Here is a 12,138-nt window from a genome sequence, read left to right on the forward strand (position 1 = left end):
CCAGGGTTGAGTGGTTCTAAGTCCCACTCTTTTCTTTAGTTTTAAAAAAGTCATAAAATTTTTAATCACCCAAATAAGCACAGTATACATAGACATCATATTCATATAGAGTTGAAGTCTTCCTTATTTCCTGTCTCCCAGAGAGGTGCACCACGGCACTTAGGTCTACATCAGCCCCATGCATGACTTACATTATTACTCCAAGTAAATGTACCTGTGGACATGTGATTGCAGTGTTTTTCATTTTTAACTTTTATTTGTGTAAATAAAAAAGTATCTGCGACAGGTCTCAATCAATTTAGAAGTTTGTTTTGCTAAGATTAAGGACGTGCCTGTGATGCAGCCTCAGGAAGTCCTGAAAACATATGCCCAAGGTGGTCAGGCTACATCTTGGTTTTATCATTTTAATAAGACATCAATTAATACATGTGCTCTACACTGGTTCTGTCTGGAAAGGCAGGATAACGTGAAGTGGTGGGGAGAGAGGAGGGCTTCCAGATTATAGGTGGATTCAAAGAGTTCTTGACTGGCAGTTGGTTGAAAGAGTTTATCTAAAGACCTAGAATCAATAGAAAGGAGTATCTGGGTTAAGATAAGGGGTTGTGGAGACCAAGGTTTTTATTATGCAGATGAAGCCTCCAGGTGGCAGGCTTCAGAGAGAATAGATAGTAAATGTTTCTCATCAGACTTAAAAAGGCGCCAGACTCTTAGTTAATTCTCTCCTGGATCAGGAAAAAGATCTGGAAAGGAAAGGGAATATCTACATTTTCCTCATAAGAGACAGCTTTGCAGGGCCATTTCCTTTTAGTGTCTGCTGTCTGTCATGTTGGTACCTTATTGCTACAAACAGTCTGCTTTGTCAGTCTTAAGGCCTCTGTTTTAATGTTAAATGCTGGTCAGCTGTGCCCGAATTCCAAAGGGAGGAGGGTGTAATGAGGCATGTCTGACCCCCACTTCCCATCATGGCCTGAACTAGCTTTTCAGATCAACTTAGGAATGAATGCCCTTGACAGAGAGGAGGGGTTCATCCAATTGGTTGGGAGGCCTAGAATTTTATTTTTGGTTTACAATTGGTATCAGACTGTGATTTACTCTTTTTCCTTCTGTAACTTGTTTTTTACTCAACTTTTATGTCTTAGACATTTCCATGCTTCTGTGTCTAGTTCTAGTTCATTTATTAACTGTGGAATCATGTTTTATTATTTGATAAGCCACATTTTATTTATCCATTTTCTGGTTGATGTGCATTCTGGTTATTTCCAATTTTCCAGTATTACAAATGGTGCTGCAATGAACATGCTTCTATGTGTCTCTGTACACACATTTGAGAATATCTCTAGAAGTGGGATTTCTGGGTCATAGAGCACAAACATCTTCAATTTCATTGATTATTTCTGAATTGCATGCCAAAATGCCCACATCAATCCACACTCCTCTTAGCCACATACGAGTTTTCATTTCTTCGCATGCTCATCACTGCACAGCACTGTTAGAATTTTACATTTTGCTGATTTGATGGTGTAAAATGGCATATCATTGTTGTTTTCCCCATTTCTTTCCCCTACTTTCTTTAATGAATTTAGAAGAAGAGCTGCCACAGTCTGCAAAGATGTTTCTGTGTGCTGATTTGTTTCCTAGGAAGGGAGAAGGAGGAACACTGGGTATAGGTTGTATTGAACAGCCATGTGGTTTTTTGCTCTGTACCATGGATGCTTGAGGTGCATAGCACCCAGTGATGCTGACCACCCCTCTTATGCTGGAAGAATTTCCCATATCATGTGTCCTGCCTCCCTAGGTAGAAATCAGAAACTCACTTCACCAGCCGCCCAAGGAACAGGATTTTAAGCAGAGCTTATGACCTGCAAGCAGACATACCCACATAAAACAAATGTGGAACCTGAAGAATGAGGTGCTGTATTGTACGGGTCTAGTTTGGAGAAGGGATAGAGAGACATCTACTTTCGGAGGCCACAGTGGTGGAGCTCCTGAAGGTGGCATCCTGGAGCCATGCTCAGCTATGATAGCTGCTGTGATGGTGTGTTCCCTGGAGCAGTCTAGAGTGCAACTGCGCCATTCCAGAAGCAAGCCTTCTTCCCTGACCCTCTTAGATATTCTCTGAGCTGTCCTTTATTCAATGCCTTTCTGCTTAAACTGGAGGGCATTCTGTTTGTGACCAAGAACCCCATCCAAACTCTCCTTTATTGAGGTCTTTATATTTGCCAGCGTTTCCCACACAATCTCTAAGTATGTCTTAGAGATAAGAGGAGATACAGCAGATGTCTCTCTACCCCTCCTCCAGACTAGAACCCACACGGCACCTCATTCTTCATGTTCCAAATTTGTTTTATGTCATATGTCTGCTTTACAGGTCTTGTGGAGTACTTGTTAGAGATTCGTGTGGGAGACACTGGCAAATATAAAGACCTCAAAGAGTGAGAGTTTGGTTGGAGTTCTTGGTCACAAACAACAGAATCCACTCCGGTTTAAGCAGAAAGACATTGAATAATACTCCACAAAGCAGATATTATTAGCCATTTTAGAGATGAGGAAACCAAGACACCAGGGTAACTTGCCCAAGGCCATGTGGCTAGCGGGTGTTGGAGCTGGGTTTGAACCCAACCCCAACTGACTGCAGACCCCATCAGATGGAGCTTGCCTCCTCCCACCTCTGGTTGCTCACCTGCACGTCACTGCTTTTTCTACTTTATAGCACTTATTGCAGCCTAGGGTTATCTTATTTATTGGCTTACTTGTTTTCTGTCTCTTGCAATTAACATATCAGTTGCATAGAGACCAAAGACCAGACCTTGTTCACAATTGTACCTCCAGTCTTGATATCATACTTACCACAGCAGGCATTCAGTAAATATTTGTTGGATGAGTAAATGAATTGAACCAATCTACCATGGATTTCCTTGGGGGAGATAACCCTACTTAGCATTTCTGTTAAACTCAAAAACATGTTCAGTACTTTAACATGTGTTTTATTCATTCAATAGTAACAGATTATGAGGTCTCATGCCTCTTAGAATCCTAAGCTGTGTCTATTGCCTGTTTGTCCTGTATTTCCTAGAGATTGTAAGTCCTTCCAATGTCTGTTCAAATGTGCTGCCGTGCTTGTCCCCGGGGTCTGCATCCCCACAGCCCAGATAGTTCCAGGGTCTCTGGGGGCCAAATGACAGCCCGTGACAGAGCTGGACAGGAGTAGAGCCACTCAGTCGATACCCTTCACTAACTGCATGTCTTCCAAAGTTCCGTTCTGGACGGAATGTTGGCCCTTGAATTTGGGTAAGTTATAGAACCAGAATAGTCTCAGCTTTTCACCTGTGGGAGATGCGGGGCCAAGTGGCCTACTGAATCCATTGAACACCTGGCAGGCGTTCCCACCTTGCAGCCATTCTGTTTCTAATCCTTTCATTTCAGTTCAAACCCTCAAACCTCTTACCCTTATGTCCTTTCCCATAAATTCTCCATTCTATATTCTTTTGGACCAGTGTTTCATGATCACTGTTTTACAAATGAATAAAGACCAAACATAATGGCTTTGTGCCCAATTCCTCCTCCAACAAATTCCTTGAAGATGGCCATTTTGAGTTGTTTCTTCTCTTTCTCTTTTGTTCTCTGTTTCTCACTCTTAAGGTCCAGAGTAGAGAATTGTTAATTAGTTCCCAGAATAACCAGGATTGTAAGACCCAGCTCTATTTCCCTCTTCTTAAATCCACCCAGACAGGTAAATCCTGATCCTGGGACACATTTAATGGGTATAGAGAACTTTGGGGGAAAGGTGCCATGAAAAGCAAAGAAATACTGATGGTATCTATCGATGTTTGTTTTCCCTAAACTGTTATATGGCAGACTACCTGATGGGATGGAAAGAATGCATGCCTGTGGCATTTTCCAGGCCCATTTGAATCCCAGTTCCTCCACTTACTGGCTATGTGACCTCAGACAAGTTGCCTAACCTAAACCTGTTTTAAGATTCAGTTTCCTCATTTGGGAATAACCCTTGTGGGGTTGCAGTGCAGTTTAGAGATAATGTGAAAAAATTACTCAAAGAGCAGGCACTGCTCTTACCAAAGCTAGGTCAGGGCCTGACTTGGGGCACCCTCCATTCCTTGCTCACTGCCCTGCCCAACGCATACATACACACACCACACCTCACACACCTCACACACAAACACAACACTATACCATACAAACACATACACGCTGCACACACACTACACATTCCATACACACACCATACACACACACAGAAACACACTATACCATACAAACACATACACACTGCACACACACTACACATTCCATACACACACCATACACACACACACACCTCACACACGCACATACACACTATACCATACAAAAACATACACACTGCACACACACCACACATTCCATACACACACCAGACACAGACACAAACACAAAACTATACCATACAAACACGTACACACTGCACACACACTACACATTCCATACACACACCATACACACACACACAAACACTATACCATACAAACACATACACACTGTACACACACTACACATTCCATACACACACCATACACACCACACACACCACACACACCTAACACAAACACAACACTGTGCCACACACATACGCACTGCACACAAATACACACCATACACACACCACACACAGAGTATACACAGCATACCACACACACATACCCCACACACCACACACACACCCCCCACACACAGACACACTATACTATACAAACACATACACATAAACACTGCACACACACCACACACATTCCATAAACATACCGTACACACTGCACACACCATACACACCTCACACCTCACACCCTCACACACAAATACACTATACCACACACACACACACTGCACACACCACACACACACCATACACACCACACACATGCACTATACATACATACCACACACACACGCCACACACACCCACACCTCACACACAAACATACTATACCATACAAGCACATACACATACACACTGAACACACACCACACACACACTATACACACATAACCCCCACACCACACAATCTCACACACAAACACAATACCATACAAACACATACACATACACACTGCACACACACCACACACACCATACACATCACACACACCATACACATACCACACACACTATACACACATACCATACACACATACCCCCCACCCTCCCCACACACAAACACAACACTATACCATACAGACACATACACATACTGCATACGTACCACACACACACACCACACACACCGTACACACCACACATGATACACACATACCATAAATACATACCATACACACACACACCCCACACACCATACACACCTTACACACAAACACAACACTACACCACACAGACCACATGCACACACCATACACACACAACACACACATGCATGATACACATATACTATGCACACCACATACACACCACACACACACAAACACATACACATACCACACACATACATGCACACACACCACACACATCCACACACCCACATACCACACACATACACACAAACACACATGTACACACATGCCACACACATACGCAATGCCACAGTAAACACAAACATAAACACACCACGCACATAAATACTGCACTCATACCACACACGTATACTACATATAAATACACACACTACATACAGACACACATCACACATACCACACACCATGCACACACACACATTACACCACATAAACACAAACATAGACACACCACATACATACACACTGCACACATGTACATACACCACACACATACCACACATACGCACTGCCAAAATATACACACATGCACATATCATACACACATATATTATACATATATCACAGACCTCACACAAACATACAACGTGACACCAGACAAACACAAACATATACACATCACACACACACACACACACACACACACACACACACTCTTTAGGACCCTTTCTCATCCTCCCAGCTGACCTAGTGAGAAAGGAGAATCTCTGCTATGCTTTGAACATCTTAAAGGCCATGTTGATTTCACTTAGAGAAAAAGGGATGCAATTTCGCCATTCCACTGGGGAGGTTCGAGGAAGTAAATGCAGGGAAAGAACAAAGTTACAATTTGGGGAGAGTTTAAAAAAAGGCTCATAAAAAACCCATCACTTTTTGGTTGTAGTTCTGGCAAAAGGATCTTGAGGAACAGCAGGTCAAAACTATTGCCTCAAAACACGTAAGGATTTGGGGTGATGATTTGTCTCTTCTTTTCACAGCTAGATTAAAGTTGACTCCTGTTTTCCTTGGATGGGCTTGCTGGGAGAGATAAGCACACACTAGCAGCATCACCTTCAAATTGCACGAGCATTCTTTTCTTCAGAATGCCTTGAGTGCATATTATGTGATGACAGAGCAGCTCTTGGGATGCGTCAAAGCTGACAGCCATCTGCACTTGTTAAGCCCCTCGAGCTTTGGCAAAATAGCAATTTGTTTAGATTCATATTGAATTATGCTTTTGGACCAGTCACTAACCAGGCAACGTAAAAAATATACAGAGTCTTTTTACAGGTGTATTTCATTCCATGTAGTGATCTTTGGGGTGGAGGCAGGATGAACCGGAGCACACCCTTTTCCAAGGAGAGAATTTAATTTCTTGAGTACTACTGGGCTCAGCACCTTACCACATTCTCTTATGACAGCCATGGAAATTAGATGCTGTTATTCTCCCCGTTTTGCAGATGAAAAAACTGAGTCAAGTAGCCTCCTCGGGTACTCAGAGTACCCGAGTCAGGACTCAAACCCAGGCAGTTCAACTCCAGAACCTGTGCTCCCACCTACTGAGGTATAAGGATGCCATCCAGCACAGCGATGCTGGACCTTACTGTCATTAAGGGGCAAGGTCAAAGACACACCATCAGGAGAAATAAGCTTCCTCATAGGAGACTGGACTGCATTTTCTATAAGGAAAATTAATGTTCATGTTGGAGAAACATGAACATTAATTCCTAGACAAAGCAGTGAGAAAATCAGCTGTGAGGCTCGCTGGTGGGAATAAGCTGGGGTGTGGGCTCTGTCTCTGCTCTCACTCTCGGTGCCTGAGTGATTCTTACTGGGATTAGTTGGTGCTTTGGCTGGAAAAAGACCGTCTCAACCCTTGTTGGATGTTTGGCATCCCTGGCCCTGCAGCACTAAATGCCAATAGTGTGCCCCAGTCACTGTGGCTGTCCCCAACACTCCCTCCATTTCCAAATCTTCCCACTCTACTTGGGAACCAGCCAGAGGACATGAGATGCTGGAGTCGGAGGAGGTGGGAAGGGAGGGGACAGCACCCCTCCTCTGTGTTTGTGGAAAGGGGTGGAGTTTCCACTGTAAAGAGGAGGGCTGGGTGGGGCACCTGAAGGAGAGGGGCTGCATGAAAACGGTAGAGACTGAGAAGGGGAGAGAGATGGAGATCTGGGGAAAGGAAGCTTTGTTTGAAGGCTCAAGCTTAGGAAGCCTCTCCTTTCTAAGTTAAAGTAATAGTCATTCTGCTTTCTCATGGCCTGCTGCTCTCAGAGATTATAGTATGCTCTGGGCTTGACCTGGGAAAGGTCCAGTAGCCAGAAAGTACTCTGGGAAGGGACCACAGTGCTTCTGAACCACCTTGCAGTGGCTCTAGCCAAGAAGGGACTGGAGGCAGCCCTCTTCACCTCATAAGGGCTCTGGGGGCCTGCTGTGGCACAGAGGACACCTCCAAGAGTGGGGCGTGGCAGAGCTGCAACACTGACACGAGGGATTTAGGAAGGTGCTCCATTTGGGAGGGCATTTCAGAGAGAAAGCCACACTTAACCTTGAGTTATATGCAGTGCAGTATGAGCTTACCAGGCGAATTCAAACCCCTCACCTTGTGTAGGATATACCAGGAGAAGTTGACCATGGAGGTGCTATGCAAACCTGTGTCTTTTCTCATGTAAATTTTAAAGAAAATCAGTCATTCCTCAAGAAAGAAGGCAGGTGTGGGGCCCACATGGTGTGGTAGGGTGGTGGATGGACTCAGCTAAGCCTGCTGCTCCTGGGCCACGGTGAGAAACCAGCTGTGGTGACTGGGTGGGTTAGGCGCCTTCCCACAGCCTGCTGCTCAGGTGGTGCAGGGCAGCTACGGGCTGGTAGTGACGCCCTGGATATGAAATCCGTGAGTGTGTGCGGGAACTGTGGCTGACCATCCTAAGGAGGTGCTGCAGGGAGGGAAAGCACCGGGGACAGAGCCATAAAGGAGGGAACGTGGATTGGAGGAGCCAGGAGCAAGGGAGGTTTATAGCTCAAGGCGGCAGATGCACTGGCCCCAATGAACAGCAGCTCAGAAGCAGCGCAGATAAACAGGCATGGCTAGGCCCTAGGCAGGGGATACTGCATTTACTTTTGCATAAATTCATGAAGTAGTTATATGCTTTTGACTGGAAACAATAGGAGGCCCAGTGAAAACAAAGAGACTTAGCAATCCAGGCTTTTTAGGATTGGATGCTTGCTTGAGATGCCTAAGCACATAGAAGACACTCGGATGCCCCTGGGGTCAAAGTGTCTACTGGATGTAGACTTACAAGGGCCACGGCAATGGAGGATGGTGGGGGAAGTGATCCCCGGGAAAAGTCAGCTGCGGGTACACCTGCCCTCCCTCTCACCACACCAGGCACCTTCTTCAAGTTTGAGTCCCTAAGTAATTTCTTAAATCCGACCTAACCAAAATCCAGTCCCCATGCAATCCAGACATTTGAACACTCAGTGCTGCAGAGCTCTGTCCTTACTTCTTTTGTCCATCTCTACCCACTGCCCTGGAGACCTTGGTGATCTTTTCTGGTCTCACAGTTTTGATTACCTTCTATTTGCTGAGGACTCCCAAGTTCCATCTTCAGGCTGGATCTACTCAGCAACCTCACTAGATGTCCACTGGATTTCTCAAACTTGACACATCCAATGGAAACCTCTGATCTTTTCCCAGAACCCCCACATGACTTGCGGCTGTCTCCATTTCAGCTGATGGCCACTGTGTGACCTGGTGGTCAGTCATCCTTGATTCCTCTTTCTCACACCCGTATCTGACACGTCGGCACGCCCTGCTGATGCTTCCTTCAACATCTCACTTGGGCTCCCAGCACTTCTCATCACCTCCACTGCTCCATTCCTGGTCCACATTGTCATCAGCCGCTACGTAAATATGGCGATGGCCTCCTAACTGTGTTCTCTATTTCCCCCTTTGCCCCTTGCAGGCTAATCTCAACACAGGTGCTGGAGTGGTCCGATTAAAGTATAAATCAGGTCATGGCGCTCAAACCCTCTGCTCAAAACCCTCCAATGGTTCCCCATTTCACTCAAAGTAAAACCCAAAGTCCTCACAATGGCATTACATGCTCTGCCTATTTTGGCTATGATGACTTCTCTGACCTCGCCTTCTTGTATGACTCCTGTCATTCCCTCTGTTCCAGCTACGTTCCTGTCTTCCCACATACTGTGGCCCCCTCAGGGCCCATGTGCTGGCTGCTCCTCTGGCTAGAATGCGTCTTCCCTACATATCTGCATGGCTCTCTCCCTCACGCTTTAAAAATCTTTGCTGAAACATCATATTTTTAGCCAGGCCCACCCTGACCACCCTAGAGGGCAAACAGATTTTCCCTGATCCCTAATCCTTCTTATCCTCTTTACCTTACTATATATTTTCCACAGCAGTTTCCACCAGTATCTAACATACCCAATCATGTATTTATTTCATACATTTAGGCTCTTTTTCCTCACAGGGACATAAGCTCCATAAGAGCAGAGGTTTTTGTCTGACTTGTCTAGTGGTGTAGCTCTAGTATTTAAAACAGTGCCAATAGGAGCTTAATACATATTGTTGAATGAAATATTCCCCTTAAGTTGGAATTCCTTGGGGGGAAAGGAGCTCTAGGGATCTCACCGAAGCGCTTTCTGATGCATCTCATGTTTCTACTTGCTAGCCCTTCTTTCAGTATGGTTGCTTTCCATTTAATCTTTGGGCAGCCATGGCATCTGAGATTCTAAGTACCCTCCTCACAGCCTCGCCTGTTTTCTCTGCTTTCCAGATGAGGTTGTGCTGATCTGGTGAACTGCCCTTTGGAGCTCACCTTAGCCAGGTCATACCGCCACTCTGGGAACCCTGGAATGTTATTTGTTAGTACGGGCTTTCTGGGCCTCCTGGGTCCCTTACCCAAGCCCTGACCTGAGAGTCCGTGAAACTGAATCCCTCCTGTCTCTGAGTGGGACTCCGGGTGCACATTCCTAGTTCTCCTAGAGTGTGGCTCTGCTTTTTTTTTCCCCTCTGAGCCAGAAGCTTGGAAACAGAGAGGTAACGAAATGGATGAGAAATAGGGAGTACATTTGAGGACACTTAAATACAACCAGGCAAGAAAGTTAAAGAATTTCTTCAAGGCTGGGGATGAAAATTGCTGTGTGTTCATTTAATGAAAATGACATAGAAGAGCCAGTGTTCAGACAAAAAATAATTCAGAGATTCTAAAAGTTAGAATTTATCAGTATGCTGAGAAGTCTTTAAAATTCTAATAAGCTTTCAACATTTGTGCCGTTTGCTGGGCTTAAAGAAACACAAGGAACAAAGAACAAGAATTTCCTCTTAGGTAGGACGATGATGTCTAATGCATCTATTTCCCTTGCTACATTCTATTTCCATTTCATTCTGAGATCCTGCTAAATTCGGAAGGTTGCCCTTGGGTTTTCAACACTGCAGGGGATGATTTAAATCTAAATAATAATAAAAAGCCACTGCTTTTATTGTACTTTTATTTTATAAGTTGATGGAAACATTTCATATACACATTAAGTTTTGTAACCCAATCTTGGTACTTGCTGGGTCCCGGAGGGGCTGTTTCACTACTTGGGACTTCCCTTGTGTTTGCATTATCCCTCCAAGGCAGAAGGAGAAAATGCTTTCACTGAAGCCAGAATAGTGTTTTATTTGAAATAATTCTCATTTAAGGCAAGGCACACACATTCCAAGTGCACATACATGCACACACAGTCTCTCTTATATGGGCTGCATCATAAAATCACAGAGTTTTGGAATTGAAGGGACCTTAGAGATCATCTGTTCTAACACCAGCATGTTACCTATGAGGAAGCTTCTGCCAGACAGGTTAAGTACCTCATCCAAGGTCACAGGCATGTAGTGAAAGAGACCAGGCTACAATTCAGATTCCCTGACTCAAGTCTAATTTTCTTTCTGCTACACCATATTGACTCCAAAATAAGATAATGTATATGAAATCACTTTGAAAACTGAAATGTATTACACAGGTATTCAGTGTGGAGAAGGAGAATTACAATGAGCTTGCTTTCTTCAGAGGTGAGCATGACTTGCTCAGGTCTCTTCCCGGATAAAGTAAGTTCATGGTGTGTGAATCATGAACCGTATTTCTAATTAGGTTTCTGGGTATGGCCTCCAGAAAATGAGCATCAAAGGGGTCAAACCAAAACACAGTCTTCATTCAAGTCCAGCTCGTGTATAGCTCTACTTTTTCTTCCTTCTCACCCTCTCTGTCTGCCTCCCTCTAGTGTCCACCTTTAGTTATTGCATGTGTGCCCCGCAGAAAGGCTGCATGCAGACTACTATCCACCATGTTCACCATTATTTGTTCAAATTACCCCCCTATTTCTTGATATCAGTAGCTGTCATCACGACCAAATTAGGATGCTTTTTATATCAACAGGAATAAATGACTAATATAAAGACCTGGATATTAAGAAAAGTATTTAAAATCGTTTTGTGATTGGAATGATAACACATTCAAAGTTTGGTAATTAAATTGTCTTTAATAGACTTAAATCACATAAGAAGCCCTTATAATTAATTGAAATGTTTTAATTACAAACATAATTATTTTTAAGGTAGAAGGCCTATTAAATTAACTAACACATGATTCATTAAAAAAATTACTGCTTTACATGGAATGCTGTCAATTACTAAATATTATTGCAAATTACTTGAAGGATTAAAATTTTATTTTGGTACTATTAATAGATTAATGTATTAAATCATATAGTGATTATAAATAATATTTAATTAGTCCTATGTTGCCTTCTTTAATATATAGACATATCTATATATCTATATTTATCCCTCAGTCA

At 43.7% G+C, this 12,138-nt stretch overlaps 2 annotated features.

Moving 5' to 3' along the window:
• Positions 213-808: an enhancer, noted in NCBI's record as "OCT4-NANOG-H3K27ac hESC enhancer chr14:66280257-66280852 (GRCh37/hg19 assembly coordinates)". NCBI's record gives its function as "activates a minimal SCP1, AML or CMV promoter by ChIP-STARR-seq in naive and primed H9 embryonic stem cells {active_cell/tissue: H9 hESC(naive and primed)}" and the evidence as "EXISTENCE:reporter gene assay evidence [ECO:0000049][PMID:30033119]".
• Positions 809-1,404: an enhancer, noted in NCBI's record as "OCT4-NANOG-H3K27ac hESC enhancer chr14:66280853-66281448 (GRCh37/hg19 assembly coordinates)". NCBI's record gives its function as "activates a minimal SCP1, AML or CMV promoter by ChIP-STARR-seq in primed H9 embryonic stem cells {active_cell/tissue: H9 hESC(primed)}" and the evidence as "EXISTENCE:reporter gene assay evidence [ECO:0000049][PMID:30033119]".

The sequence above is a fragment of the Homo sapiens genome, chromosome 14, assembly GCF_000001405.40.
Source record: "Homo sapiens chromosome 14, GRCh38.p14 Primary Assembly".
In the NCBI taxonomy this organism is placed as follows: Eukaryota; Metazoa; Chordata; class Mammalia; order Primates; family Hominidae; genus Homo; species Homo sapiens.